Below are 16,006 nucleotides of genomic sequence, written 5' to 3'. Positions count from 1 at the left end.
GGGGCTACCTAGAAGATTTCTAAAATGCCTTCAAGGCCCTTTTTCCCATTGTCTTGCTTATTAGCACTTGGATCCTTTTTTAGTCACACTAATCTCTCTAGCAAGTGGTTGCTTTGCGGCCTGCTTGTATTCCTCCTCTGAAAATGCTTTTTCTTTCTTTACCACATGGGCAGGCTGCAAATTTTCCAAATTTTTATGCTCTGCTTCCCTTTTAAATACAAGTTCCAAACATAAGTCATTTCTTTGTCTCTGTATTTGATTGTAGGTTATTAGAAGCAGACATACCACATCTTGAATGCTTTGCTGCTTAGAAATTTCTTCTGCCAGATACCCTAAGTCATCACTCTGAAGTTCAAACTCCCACAGATCCCTAGGGCCTGAACACAAAGCAGCCAAGCTCTTTGCTAAGGTGTAACATGGGTGACCTTTGTTGACCTGCATTCTCCATTAAGTTGCTCATTTTTATCTGAGACCTCATCAGCCTGGACTTCATTGTCCATATTTCTATCAGCATTCTGGTCACAACCCTTTAACCAGTTTCTAAGAAGTTTCAAACTTTCCCTCATCTTCCTGTCTTCTTCTGAACTCTCCAAACTCTTCTAACCTCTAACTGTTACCCAGTTCAAAATCTACTTCCACATCTTCAGGTATCTTTATAGCAATGCCCCACTCCTTGGTACCAATTTTTTTGTATTAGTCTGTTTTTGCGTTGCTATCAAAGAATAAGTATTCCTTGAGACTGGGTAATTTATAAAGACAAGAGGTTTAGTTGGCTCACAGTTCTGCAGGCTGTACAGGAAGCATGGCACTGGCTCTGCTCCTGGTGAGGGCCTCAGGAAGCTTACAATCATGGAGGAAGGCAAAGGGGGCGCAGGTGTGTCACATGGTGAGAGTGTAAGAGAGAAGAGGGAGGTCTCAGACTCTTAAACAACCAGATCTTGTTGCAGGAAGTCAGGGACCCCAAATGGAGGGACTGGCAGAAGAACGTGGATTGTGAAGATTTCATGGACATTTATTAGTTCCCCAAATTAATACTTTTATAATTTCTTATGCCTGTCTTTACTGCAGTCTCTAAATTGTGAAGATTTCATGGACACTTATCACTTCCCCAATCAATACCCTTGTGATTTCCTATGCCTGTCTTTACTTTAGTCTCTTAATCCTGTCATCTCGTAAGCCGAGGAGGATATATGTCGCCTCAGGACCCTGTGATAATTGTGTTAACTGCACAAGTTGTAGAGCATGTGTGTTTAAACAATATGAAATCTGGGCACCTTGAAAAAAGAACAAGATAACAGCAATGTTTAGGGAACAAGAGAGATAACCTTAAACTCTGATTGCTGGTGAGCCGGGCAGAACAGAGCCATATTTCTCTTCTTTCAAAAGCAAATGGGAGAAATATTGCTGAATTCTTTTTCTCAGCAAGGAACATCCCTGGGAAAGAGAATATGTGCCTGAGGCTGGGTCTCTGAAATGGACCCCTTGGGTTTGGCCATCTTCTATGGTCAAGACTGTAGGGATGAAATAAACCCCAGTCTCCCATAGCGCTCCCAGGCTTATTAGGAAGAGGAAATTCCCACCTAATAAATTTTGATCAGACCGGTTGCTCTCAAACCCTGTCTCCTGATAAGATGTTATCAATGACAATGGTGCCCGAAACTTCATTAGCAATTTTAATTTCGCCCCATCCTGTGGTCCTGTGATCTCGCCCTGCCTCCATTTGCCTTGTGATATTCTATTACCTTGTGAAGTACGTGATCTTTGTGACCCACACCCTATTCGTACACTCCCTCCCCTTTTGAAAGTCCCTAATAAAAACTTGCTGGTTTTGCGGCTTGTGGGGCATCATGGAACCTACTGACATGTGATGTCTCCCCCGGACACCCAGCTTTAAAATTTCTCTCTTTTGTACTCTGTCCCTTTATTTCTCAAACCGGCTGACGCTTAGGCAAAATAGAAAAGAACCTACGTGACTATCAGGGCACGTTCCCTGATAAGATCTCACATGAACTAACCAAGAGAGAATTCACTCATCACCAAGGGGATGGCACTAAGCCATTCATGAGGGATTCATCCCCATGTTGCAATGCCTCCTGTTAGGCTCTATCTCCAATATTGGAGGTCACATTTCTTTTTTGTTTGTTTCATTTTGTTTTATTCTTACTGCTTGTATAACTGCAGAATGGAGGTCACATTTCAACATGAGATTTGGAGGGAACAAACATTCAAGCCATGTCACCTTCACATGGCAGGTGTCCTGTCTGTGGCCTCTGGATAGGGACACCACTCGGGGGAATGATTTTGGTACCCTGGTGATATGGTTTGGCTGTGCCTCCACCCAAATCTCATCTTGAATTGTAATCCCCATGTGTCTAGGGAGAGACCTGGTGGGAGGTGATTGGATCACGGGGGTGGTTTCACCCATACTATTCTAGTGATAGTGAGTTCTCACGAGATGTGATAGTTTTATAAGGGGTTCTTCCCCCTTTGCTCACACTGTCTCCTGCCTGCATGTGAAGAAGGTCCTTGCTTTCCCTTCACCTTCTACCACGATTGTAAGTTTCCTGAGGTCTCCCCAGTCATGCAGAATTGTGAGTCAATTAAACCTCTTTCCTTTATAAATTACCCAGTCTCGGGTATTTCTTTATAGCAGTGTGGGGACAGACTGATACACCTGGCTCTCAGGACTCTTTTCTGAGGGCCCAACTCTGTGTCAAGCTCTTTATCTACTTATGAAATGTCACTCTTGCTATATGGATAGAGTATAGTATGATACTTAAAATGATGACTTGGGCATAGTGGCTTTGCCACTTGTTAGCTTTGTGACAATGGAGAAGTTGTCTGACTTCTTTGAACCTCTGTTCCTTCATATCTAAAAATGGCATAATAAGAAATCATTCTGGATTTGTCCAGGATTGCAGTGAAGACTAACAGAGATATTAATGCCTGTACAGCATTTGCTTAGTACCTAGTAAGCCTTCAATAAATGTTAGCCCAACAAAAGAAAACAAACTGGGGAAGGGAAGAGTGAGGGCAGCTTACATGATAGGCATTATTATTGAATTTTTTAAAAGATGAGTATAGGCCTGAGGTCATAGAACTGATAGATAGAAGGGACGTGGTGCCAATTTGGGTCTGTCTGTTGCCAAAGCTCATGTTGCTTCTGTTCTGTCTCTGTCTTTAGAGCAGGTGTCTGTGGGTCTGGAGCCCATGTGTGACCTGGCAGAGTTTATGCCACACCCGGCCTTACAGCCATACCTGGTGGTAGTAGAGCTGTGTTACTCTCCTTTGTACATGGTGTCAGCCGGTTACAGTGTATCCTCCAGCTCCAATGGGCCTGGCCATGCTGGCCACTAGCAATGAGCTGCTGCCAGGACTGAAGAGCCCTCTGGGCACTGAGGGTCGCAGTACAACACAACTCTCCTGCCTCCAGCCTCCAGAGGTCCTGATTTTGTTTTCCTTCTGTGATTCATACTGTTGGGAATACAGGGGCTTGGAAACAGCCCTTGCCTCAAGCAGATGTACAAAGAAGAGCTTGGTTTATTTTACTTTTTTAACAGATTTATTGATAAATAATTTACCTGCCATATAAGTCACCCATTTAAAGTGTACAATCCAATGGCATTTAGTATATTCAGAGTTGCGCAACCATCATCACAAGCAACTTAAGAACATTTTTATCAGCCCATAAAGACACCTTGTACCCCTTAGCCATAATTGTCTGCCCCCACCCCCAGCCTCACACCTGCACCAGCCCTAGGGAACTGCAAATCTACTTTCTGTCTCTATAGACTTGCCTATTCTGGACATTTCATTTCATTTCATATAAGCAGAATTATGAAATATGTGGTTCTTTGTGACTGCTTCTTTCACTTAGCATAATGTTTTCAAGGTTCCTCCATGTTATAGCATGTGTTGGTTCTTCATTCCTTTTTATTGCCAAATAACATTCCATTGTATGACTATAGACATCTTTTTTTTTTTTTTTTTTTTTTTTTGAGACAGAGTCTCCTTCTGTTGCCCAGGCTGGAGTGCAGTGGTGCAATCTCAGCTCACTGCAACATCTGCCTCCCAGGTTCAATTGATTCTCCTGCCTCAGCCTCCTGATAGCTGGGATTACAGGCTTGTGCCACCATGCCTGGTAATTTTTTTGTATTTTTAGTAGAGATGAGTTTCACCATGTTGGCCAGGCTGGTCTTGAACTCCTGACCTCAAATGACCAGCCCGCCTCCGCCTCTCAAAGTGCTGGAATTACAGGCGTGAGCCACCTTGCCCTGCCGACTATAGACATCTTATTTGGTGCATATTTGGGTTGTTTTCACTTCTTGGCTGTTACGAATGATGCTTTTATGGGAACTGGTGTGCATGTTTTTGTGTGGATATATGTTTTCATCTCTTGGATATATGTAACTAGGAGTGGAATTGTTGAGTCATACTGTAACTCTATAACTTTTGGGAAGCCTCCAGGCTGTTTTTCAAGAAGTTGCATCCATTTTCCATTCTCCCCACCACCCCCTGGAAGTGTGTGAGGGTTCTGGTTTCTTCACATCCTCACCAACACCTGTCTTTTTGATTTTAGCTCACCTAGTGCGTATGAGGTCACGTCTTTATCATTTTGCTTTGCATGTCCCTGATGGCTGATCATGTTGATCACCTTTCCATGTGCTTATTGGTTTTTAAAAAATGTCTATTCGGACCTGATATGGTTTGGATCTGTGCTCCCACCAAACGTCATATAGAATTGTAATCCCCAGTGTTGGAGGTGGGGCCTGGTGGGAGGTAATTGAATCACGGGGCCAAATTCTCATGAATGGGTTAGCACCACTCCCTCGGTGCTGTTCTCCTGATAGTGAGTGAGTTATCGCGAGATCTTGTTTAAATGTGTGTAGCACCTCCCCACTCTCTCTCTTCCTCCTGCTCTGGCCATATGAGTTGTTTGCTCCCCCTTTGCCTTCTGCCATCATTGAAAGCTCCCTGAGGCTTCCCCAGAAGCTGCTATGCTTCCTGTGTAGCCGGGAGAACCATGAGCCAATTAAGCCTCTTTTCTTTATAAATTATCCTGTCTCAGGTATTTCTTTATAGCAATGTGAGAATGGACTAATACAAAACCTTTTGCTGATTTGTCTTTTGATGATTAGGTTGTAAAAGTTCTTTTTTTTTTTTTGTAGAGATGAGGTCTCACTATGTTGCCCAGGCGGGTCTTGAATTCCTGGGCTCAAGTGATCCTCCTACCTTGTCCTCCCAAAGTACTGAGATTACAGGCATGAGCCACAGTGCTCTGCCAGGTTGCAAGGATTCTTTACATATTCTCCATACTAGTCCCTTTGGCTGGGGTATTTTTAAGGATCTTTAGAAAGGTCATGTCATAACTTCCTTGTTCCTGTGTTTACTGGCTGAAGAATTGCATCAGAAACAAATCACTGGCTCTCATTCCACGAGGTGGAGCTGACACCCCTTGAAAGCACCAGCTGACATGTATTCCTAGTGCTGGTGAAGACAGACAGGATCCTTTTGACTCCCTTTCCCCTTTTCTCTCTTTTTGGCTTCACCGAAATCAGACAACCTCAAGTGAATAGAGTGGAGGGCACGCCAGGATCCCCTGCGGGATTGTTTCAACCCCCACAGTCTCGCCTGCCTCCAAGAGTTGGATATGTTTTCCTTTTCCTTCCCTGCCCCCACGTCCCACTTTCTTTTGAAAACCACTGTCCCAAGGAATACTTTGGAGAGTCATCCTGGCATGGCATGAAATGGCCTCTGGGTGGCAGCAAATCTGAGACGAAGACCTGGGATTGGCGGCAGGGACCAGTGCCGAATCTCAGACAAAGAAAAGAACATTCTCTTCTCGCTGGCAGTTGCACGTGAAGCCGGGTTAGGTGGTCCGTTTGTTCTCCAGCTGAAGCCAAGAGTGTCATGTAGTGAGACACGATCATGCCCTGAGGGAGGAAGGAAGGAATAGTGGCATCTTTTTGTCTCCCAGAAAGATCTTGGCAGCATCATTCAGTGTTTATTAAGTTCTAATGTTGAGCCAGGCATTGTGCTAAGAATTTTATATTCCTTGTCTCATTAATCCTCACCATAATCTTATGGGTTAGGTACAGTGGATCGTTATTTTCCAAATAAGGAAAGTGAGCGCAGGTAGATTAACTTGCCAGCTATCACCCAGCTAGCAGGTGGCAGAACTGGGATTAAAACCCAGGCCATCTGACTTCAACACCTGTATGCTTAAACAACTCCCTCTTGGTGCACAGAGCACCCAAGCTTTTGAATTCAAATCCTATGGATGTTCATTTTCACATTGTCGATTTCCATAGAAATTTGCATGAGACACAGCTGAACTGTAGAAGAAAGAGCCCCTAGCATGTGTTAGAAAACTGGCACTGAGATGTATTGCAGCACGCACAGGTTTTGAGCGACTTTGGTCAATTACATCATCCTTCTCTAAATTTCCTTATTGCACAATAGAGGTAGAGATAGCATACCCACGTCATAGGGTTATTGTGAGGGTCAAATGAGATGATTGCTGTATGATTTGGAAAATCTAAAATTTGAAAAGTCAGGGATTGTTATTCTTACTGCATTGTTCAGTTAATTCAGGTCAAATCCTGTAATTAACAGCCATAAACTTAGATAACAAGAGTTCTGAGTCTTAGCCAAGAAGCTTAGGGTTGGCTTACTTGTGAGCAATATTCAAGACAATAGACATGGGGTACCACCCAAGTGTTGGGTGCTTTGTACCTGGTTAATTCTGGAATCCTATCCATCTCTCTCCACTCCCCAGCCACCAGCTTGAATCTTGGCTCTTTTTTCCTCCCCCACCCTCCGAATTTGTACTGACTGGGCTGGCTGAGCCTTTATCTTCTGCATGACCCCTGGCAGGAGTGTATGGTTCTTTGTGGCAGAGATGGGATATGTTCGCCAAATGTCCACACACTAATTAGTTGGGTGAGTGAAATGTGAGCAGGAGTGACATGTGTTCCCTTTAGGCTGAGGCAGCAAAGAGCCAGTGCTCCTCTTCCACTTCTCCCTTCCCCTGTTAGAGGCCTGCTATCAGATGGAAGAGGGCCACTTGCCCCACATTAGTCCATAACATGAGTAGGACATAAATCTTGGTTGTGATAAGCTACTGAAATTTGAGGGTTTATTTGTTCAGAGTGTAACTTAGTGTTACTTTGATGAATGTATTCCTTGATATGAGTCTACAAAGAGGTGAGGAGGAAGACCTTATTCCATGAATAAAGATATGACATGTTCAAGGGAGAAGGAGAAAATTGGTGTAGACAGGGCTGAGGTTCGTGTTCATAGGGCCCTAGAAGATAGTGGCTAAGGTCACACACTTTGAGTTGTGGCTCTGCCATTGACTGGCTATGTGCCTTGGACAAGTTCCTGTCTCTGAGCCTTGGTTTCCTTCACTGTAAACTGTAGACAATAACAGCATCCAGACAATGGAATTGTGGAGATTGAATGAGTACTTAGCTCAGGGTAAGTGCCTGGATAAGAATTAACCATGTTAAATGTCAGTCATTGTTATAATAACAGAGGGCTGGGAAACTGATTTCAGGACAAGAAAAAGGGCTTTCTATATTTACAGTAATCTGGAGCCTAGGGTGGTAAATATGAGAAGAGGAGATAGAGTGTTCTGAGGGCACTCAGAACCAATTCATCCACCTTTCATTGCACTCCTCCATCTGTCTATCCATTCATCTATCCATCCATCCATCCATACATCCGTCCATCTGTCCATCTGTCCGTATATCCATCCATCTATCCATCCATCCATCCAACAAACAAAACAATTAATAAATTGTTAATTTATTAATCTGTCAGGGAGTCTAACCAACAGGGAGATAGAGCCTGAAACACTAGGTTATGGGATAAATCTTTTACGGACCTGTTGCCTCTTTAACAGGAGGTAGAAAAAAATAGAAAAGTCAGGAGGGGAGCCAAGGCCAATGACGTCTCAATAGGAAGGGCAGTGACAGGAAACCAGCATCAAGGCTAAGTGCTTTTTCTTGGTGTGTGTTCTCTCTGGAGGAGGAGTGGGTGAGGGGAATCTCCAACCCAGGGCACCTTAGTCATGGAGTCTCTGGCTTTCACTCCACCAGGCTTCTGGGCTGGTGGAAGGAGAGCAGGATGATGGAAAGCCAGGCTATGCTCCGCTCAAGTGAAATCTTAGAGCCACAGTGAGTGGGAAATGTCACCATGCGCAGCCTGTCATGGCCTCTGCAGCAACATCCCTTGCAGACTCTTCGGTGTGTTTGGACCTCCAGTGAACAGAGCTGTAAAGTCTGGGCAGAGTGAATGTGGTGGACTTTATGTGCTCTGTTTCCATTGCCCTGTCTCCTGGTTGCTGAGCCCACTTTAAACCCATAGGTTCAGTGAGACTGATTCTATCTCCAGCTCCAGGAATGGGCAAGTGATGTATGTTTGATAAATTACAGTGTTGATTCTTGAAGGCCACAGTGATTGGCCCAGGGGTGGGCATGTGACCAAACTGGTCCCATGAGATTCTATTGGTAAGCCTTTTTTTTTTTTTTCGTTTTTACTATAATAATTTTGGCATCTATTGGTGAACTTTTATTTGAACTATTGGGGAATAGAATCTCTCTTAATAGACTCATAGTTAGAAGGATATGACCTAGAGCTTTTGGAATTTAGTAAGTATAGATAAAGCCTGCCTGAGATTGAGGCTAACACAGCAAAGCATAGTGTTGAGAGAAAGACAGAGGCCACATCCTGCATGTGAGACCCTGGATCCCACCATACCTGAAGGCAGCTGACTTTTTCAGTTATTTGAGATTTCTGACTGGTACACTGGCATGGTTTTCTAAAGAACACCTTTGGCTTTCTGAATATGATGAGATGGGGAATCTCACCACTAGCATGCATATCCACATTCTATCTTTCCAAGCTTCCACATTTTACAATGGACAAATTAGTCTGCACCAGTTTCGGAGCTGTGCTCCTGGGATAGAAAAACAAACAGGACCTGGGCCTTATCACAGTCACAGTTTAGAAGGGGTGACAAACATAACCAGAACAGTTCAGCATAAGATGATAAGAGATAAAAACTAAGTGTCCTGGGAACTAAGAAGAGAAAGAAAGCCTGAATCTCAGAGGGAGAGGAGTGTCAATTAAAGCTATTTAGAGGAGATAATATTTATTCATTCATTCAATAGGTATTTACTGAGCATCTACTATGTGCCACAAACTGTTCTAGGCACTGGTGATATAGTAGTGATCACAGACAGATATGGTCCCTGACCTAAAGGAACTGACAGTCTATGAGAACAGGAGCATCAGATTTCTCAGAATAACCCTGGGGGCAGGGCAGGAATATGGTGCTATGAGAATAAATAACAAGGGAACCAGACTTGACTTTGGGATCTATGGGAGGCTTCCCTGAAGATGAAATTCTTCAGCTGATAGTTGAAGGAGAAGCAGGAATTAACTAGGCCAAGTGGAATGAGTGTGGATGTGTGGAAGCATCCTTAGCAGAGGAAATAGCACCTCCAAAGGTTCTGTAGAGGGAAGGAGCAAAAGGTCCAAGGGAAGGAGCAAAAGGTGCAAATAACTATTATAATAAGACCCATGTGTTTGGAGCACAGAGAGAGGAGAGGGTAAGAGATGAAGCTGGAGAAATAGACAAGAGTCAGACTCTAAGGGCCTTAAAACCCATTGCCTTCTTATGGGTTTTTGGTCTGTCTTTGATACTGGATCTGGAAGGATAAGTGAGCAAATGGCACACCAGAAGGAAGAAATGGCATGTGCAAAGGCAAAGCTGTGTGAGGCTTAGAGATCACCCCATAGCTATGTGTGCTTGAAGTGCCAGGGATCGTCATGGGGCCAGACTGTAGAATACCTTGTTTGCCCAGCTAAGGCTCATGATATTCTCTTGCTGGTTCTTGTCTTGACCTGCCCTCCCTACTCCCTGCCTGTTGATGACGTATGTTTTTTCTAACATACCTCCATAGCTCCTCTCCCTCCGAATAGTATTTCAACTAACTCTTGATGCAAAATAAGCTATCCCTAGACTTAATGGCTTAAAACAACAATGACTTATGGTTTCTCATTATTCTTTGGGTCAGGAATTTGGGCAGGGTTCAGCTGGGTGGTTCTTCTGCTCTAGTCACTCACTCAGTTGCATTTATCTGGAAGCTGGGCCTGGGATGGAAAGCCTAAGAAGGCTTCATGCATGTATCTGGTACCTTGGTACTCTTCCACTTGGCTTCCCTCTCTCTCCGTATGTCCCTGTCCATAGCTACCTTGGGCTTCCTTGCAGCATGGTGGACCCAAGGTAACTAGACTTTTACATGGTGGCTAGCTTTCAAGAAAGAGGTAGCAGAGCTGCTAGTCCTCTTTGGTCTGGGTTCAGAATGGTCACAGTGTCACTTCTGTCATATTTCAGTCACTAGAGCAAATCAAAAGGCCACCCCAAGTTGAAGGGGAGGAAAAAAAGACCTAACTTCTTGATGTGAGGAGTTGTGAGCAAGAGCAGAGAGGGAAGGAATCTATGGCACCATTTGTATATACTGCTGACCACACCCAGAACCTTTCAAACTCCATCTCTACACCCACCAAGCAGTGTGACTGCTGAGGCTACTCATTCCAGAACTCTGCTCTAAGATCTCTGGGGTAGTGGGATCTTTTTCCAGTTACCCCTTCTGCATGCTAATGTTGAAAAAACATGGATGAATCAGCACCAGCTCTGCCATATGCTAGGTGGTGACTTTTGATGAGTTACTTCATTTCACTTTGCATAGGTTCAGCATGAATGAAATACCCTTTTGTGTGTGTGTGTGTATGTGTGTGTGTGTGTGTGTCAGAGACTTTTTTGGGTATAGCAATAGTTTTTGTTTATTTTCATACTCAGAGTAAAGCTTCGTTATTAATTTTACATAATCACCAAACAAATAGAATGAATTATCTGGCTTTTTTTTTTTTTGAGATGGAGCCTTGCTCTGTTATCCAGGCTGGAGTGCAGTGGCACTATCTGGGCTCACTGCAACCTCTGACTCTTGGGTTCAAGCAATTCTCCTGCCTCAGACTCCTTAGTAGCTGGGATTACAGGTGTGCACCACCACGCCCAGCTAATTTTTTGTATTTTTAGCAGAGACAGGGTTTCACCATGTTGGCTAGGCTGGTCTCAAACTCCTGACCTCAAGTGATCTATCCACCTTTGCCTCCCAAAGTGCTGGGATTACAGGCATGAGTCACTGTGCCCAGCCTGATCTGGCTCTTATCCTGAGAAGTTAGGACCCATGATCCTTAGCTCCATAGCTTCCTTAACCCAGATGTTTTAAAAATCACTCTGAGTATCATTTTTCTTAACTACAAATGGGATAATAACACCAATTTGTTATCACAGGCCTGTTATGGGGATGCAATGAGAAGGTAGTCAGTAAATTTCAGTGAATTAAAAAAAAAATCTTTAGAGACAGGGTCTAGCTCTGTTGCCCAGGCTGGAGTGCAGTGGCACAATCATAGCTCTCTGTAAACTCAAATTCTTGGGCTCAAGGTATCCTCCTGCCTCCGCCTTCTGAGTAGCTAGGACTACAGGCACACGCCACCACACACGGCAATTTTTATTTTTATTTTTGTAGAGACAGGATCTTGCTATGTTGCTCAGGCTAATTGCAATGATTAATAATGCTTCCCTTCCCCACAGGCCCATCCCCATCATTTCAGTGGACAGTGGTTTAGGCTGTCATTTGGTCTCCAGAGTTTCCACTTTCATCAACACTCCTTTCCACTCATCAGCTCGTCACAGTTCTGCCCCCAGAACCTTGCTCCCACTGACATCTCCAGGTGGCCAAGAATTGACTTGAGCAAGAAGGATGAAGGCAGACAGAGGGTGTTATGGGATGAACTGTTCCCTATGTCCCCCAATTCACATATTGAGGTTCTAACTCCCAGTATCTCACACTGAGACTGTATTTAGAGATAGAGTCTTTAAAGAGGTCATTGAATTAAAATGATATCATTAGGGTGGGCCCTGATCCAATACTATTGGGGTCCTCCTAAGATGAGATTTGGATATAGACCTGTACAGAGGGAAGAGGATGTGAAGACATGGGAAGACTGAGGCCATCTACAAGCCAACAAAAGGGGCCTGGGACAGATCTTTCCCTCATGGCCCTCAGAAAGAACCAACTTTGCTGACACCTTGATCTGGGACTTCTGGCCTCCAGAACTGTGAGAAAATAAATTTACGTTGTTTAAGCCCTCTGTTCTGTGTTGCTTTTTTATGGCAGCACTAACAAAGGAATACAGGGTGATAGCAAGAGGCACAGAAAGGCACCTGTGTCCCCCAGCAATCCCCTGAGGCTGGGAGAGGGGCTGTACTCTCCTGTCCTTGGACACAGGTGAGAGAAGGAGAGAAATAGGCCCTGGGAACAAAGAGCTCTGTCCTCCTGCTTCCTGCACCTGTCCTGGGATGTGGGCAGGTGAATGGTGACATCTCTGAAGCCAGGCTGGAATCAGACTTCCTGGGCTCTGATGTCCTGACTCCACCACCTCCTGGCTGAGTTTGGGAAAGTTGCTTACCCTCTGTGTGCTTTACCTTCATCATCACTAAAATGGGAATCATATGTGTACCTACCCTACTGAGTTGTGGAGATTACAGGACAGTGCCTGGCATACAGTTAAGACCAAAGAGGACTAGCAGCTTCACCACCTCTTTCTTGGAAGCCAGCCACCATGTAAAACTCTACTTACCCTGGGTCCCCCATGCTGTAAGGAAGCCCAAGGTAGCAATGGACAAGGAACATGGGGAGGGAGGGAGGCCAAGTGCAAGAGCACCAAGGGCTGTGCTATGTAAGGGCTAGTGAGCGTTGGGATTACTCCCATCGCAGAACCTCACTCTTAACATGGGAGGCACATTCCTGGCCTCCTTAGATTATGCTAAATCTGAAATAGGACATGAAGTGTAAAAGAGTCTACAGATGTTAGTTCTTGAATTATTCCCTTAGTTCAAGTCCTAGTTCTTAGTTCTGCCACCCTTTCAGGCAGTCAGGTAACCTATGGATTTTAGTTTGCCTTCTTGTATTAATAAAAGGGTTCAGCCGACTCCTTGTGCCACCGCCTGCCCCATGGAACCCTTGTGAAATTCAAATGAGATAGTGATTTTGAAACTGCTTCCTAGAACTGTAAAGCCCTGTAATAGAATGAATTTATACATACTCCTCAAAATACGTTACTAAGAGCTAATATTTATAGTGTGCTTACCATTATTGGCATTCTTCTAAGTATCTTACACACATTTCTCATTTAATCTTTACAAAAACTCTGGGCTGGATCCTGTTATTTCCCATTTTATAGATGAGGAAACTGAGGATGAGGAGGTTCAGTAACTTGCCCAGGGTCACCAGTAAGCGGTGGAGCTGGGATTGCAGCCTTGAGTCGAATCAGGGTTCACACCCTCAATCACAGGGCCAGTGCTGTCCCTTGGAACATCCTGTGATGATGGAGATGCTCTGTAGCTGCCCTGTCCAATACAGTAGGCTTGCTGAGCACTTGAAATTGCCTAGTGTGACAGAGAAATGGAATTTTTAATCTAATTTAATTTTAATTGATTGAAATTGAAATTTAAACTGCTCCATGTGGCTTGTAGCTACTGTATTGGATAGGCACAGCACTAGGTACCCTGTCTACACATTTTTGTGCAAAAGCTAAATTTCAGAGAGCATGCAGGTGAGAAAACAGAAGATTGTCCAGGTCCTCACAGCTACCAGCCACAAAGCTGGGACCTCAACTTTGCTCTTGGCATTGATTCCAGGCTTCAAGCCAGACCCGACTCTTCCTTGATGAACCAGTAAAGAACAGGCTGTAACTTCCCATACCTGAGAGGCTACAAAAGTCAGGGGATTTTTCCCGTGGCAAGGATCAGAACTTCTGCGTTCCCATGGGGAAGTGGCCACAGTGGTTGAGGGCCCCTCCCTTGCTCTGCTGCTCTCCTTGCTCCCTCCATTCCCAGGCCCTGAGCTCTGCTCCCCCTGAAAGGCAGACAGAGGCTGGAAGGGAAGCTGAGGCCATGCATGCCTGCATTTCCTCTCTGAGCTGGAAGCTGAGCTGGCAGGCATTCAAGGTTTAATTAGCTGAAATAACTGCACATAATAATCTTTAAAATGATAGTGGTTAGAGTTCAGGCTTCACTGCTTCTGATTATTCAGTTGCCCTGCATGAGTGTCCTGTTGCCAGCTCAACCGTGCCAATGAAGCTACCAGGCTGAGTGGGATGATTCTGGCATGCCCTGTTGAAGCAATCCTCCTGCCATTCATTTGTCGTGTGATGGGAGAGGCAAGGCTCAATGTCTTCGGGGCTCACCTCTGCATCTGTGTGAGGGAGATGATTGTACCAGTCAAGCAGATGGGTACAAGAGGAGTCAGCTCAGGCTTCACAAAACCATCAAATACTCACAAAACCATCAAATACTCCCAAATAACCAGCTGTGTGAATGTCACAGATAAGGGGACACTGGCTTTCACTGCTCAGTGACCGTGAGCACGACACGTCATGTCTGTAAGCCTGTTTCCTTCTCTGGAAAATGGGAAGTGCTCACTTTTCAAGATTGTCTTCGAGGATCAATAGGCATATATATATGCAACACTTAGTCTAAGGGCCTGGCACATAGTAAATGCTCAACAATTAGTACCTTCTCCTTTTTTGGTTTTCTTTGTTCTTTCTGCTGTATCTTTGTAAACTTTCCTACTGCAGAATGAGAGCGGAGGACTTGGTCAGCAGGTTTAAAGGGGCTGATGCCCCAGAAACAGTTATTTCCCCAATGCCTGCCAACGCTTTCTCTAAGGGACACAGATTTTAGCAAGTGTTGGGGCCTGTGGGTGGGACCCCTGTGAGGACAGGTCGTGTGTGTTCTTCCCTAGAAACCCCTAGCAAGGGAGAGGACTCCAAAGCTAACAGATTACTTTTTGTAGTAGAATTATTAGGTTGAACCATAGGAAATTACCTTTTTTTCCCCACCATTTTATTTATTTATTTTTTAACATTTATTTTACGTTCAGGGGAACGTGTGCAGGATGTGCAGGTTTGTGACACAGGCAAACTTGTGTCATGGGGGTTGTTGTACAGATTATTTCATCACCCAGGTATTAAGCCTAGTATCCATTAGTTATTTTTCCTAGTCCTCTCCCTCTTCTTACCCTCCATCCTCTGAAAGGTCACAGTGTGCATTGTTCCCCTCTATGTGTCCATGTGTTCTCATCATCTAGTTCCCATTTACAAGCGAGAACATACGGTATTTGGTTTTCTGTTCCTGCATTAGTTTGCTAAGGATAATAGCTGCCAGCTCCATCCATGTTGCTGCAAAGAACATTATCTCATTCTTTTTTTATGGCTGCATAGTATTCCACGATGTATATGTACCACATTTTCTTTATCCAGTCTATCATTGATGGGCATGTAGGTTGATTCCATGTCTTTGCTATTGTGAATAGTGCTGCAATGAACATACACATGCATGTCTCTTTGTAATAGAACCATTTATATTTCTTTGAGTATATACCCAGTAATTGGATTGCTGGGTTGAATTGTTATTGGTGGAAGGGTGTTCAGGTTCTTGGTGTTTTGAACAAAGAATTGGACTAAACACAAAAACAAGGCAAGGAAAGAATGAAGCAACAAAAGCAGAGATTTACTGCAAATGAAAACACACTCCATGGGGTGGGAGCAGGCCCAAGCAAGTGGCTCAAGGGCCCCAGTTACAGAATTTTCTGGGGTTTCAATACCTTCTAGAGGTTTCGCATTGATTACTTGGTGTATGCCCTATGTAAATGAAGAGGATGAAGTTAAGTTACAAAGTCATTTACTGGGTGTATGCCCTATGTAAATGAAGACGATATTTCTTGTCATAGCTCAAGTGTTTCCATTTGATTTAGTTCTAGGAAGTTCTTAGGTTCCCTGCCTCCAGGCCCTATTCTATTACCTCATTTCCCACCTGAAAGATGTGATCCCCATAAATCTTTATGGGAGGCAGAGGGACTGATGGTCTTTC

General features: G+C 44.2%; 1 long non-coding RNA gene across 1 annotated transcript in view; it reads left to right on the top strand.

Annotated features, from left to right (window-relative positions):
* The window catches only part of LOC107984364 (uncharacterized), a 28,972-nt gene continuing 20,409 nt past the window's right edge, over positions 7,444–16,006 (top strand). The window contains exon 1 of the long non-coding RNA XR_001748067.3: positions 7,444–7,479. This is a non-coding gene — a long non-coding RNA (uncharacterized LOC107984364). The remainder of the gene's footprint in view (positions 7,480–16,006) is intronic.

The sequence above is a fragment of the Homo sapiens genome, chromosome 11 (genome assembly GCF_000001405.40).
Source record: "Homo sapiens chromosome 11, GRCh38.p14 Primary Assembly".
Classification (NCBI taxonomy): Eukaryota; Metazoa; Chordata; class Mammalia; order Primates; family Hominidae; genus Homo; species Homo sapiens.
Note: the sequence above shows the minus strand (reverse complement) of the source record. Positions and strands in the feature narration are given on the sequence as shown.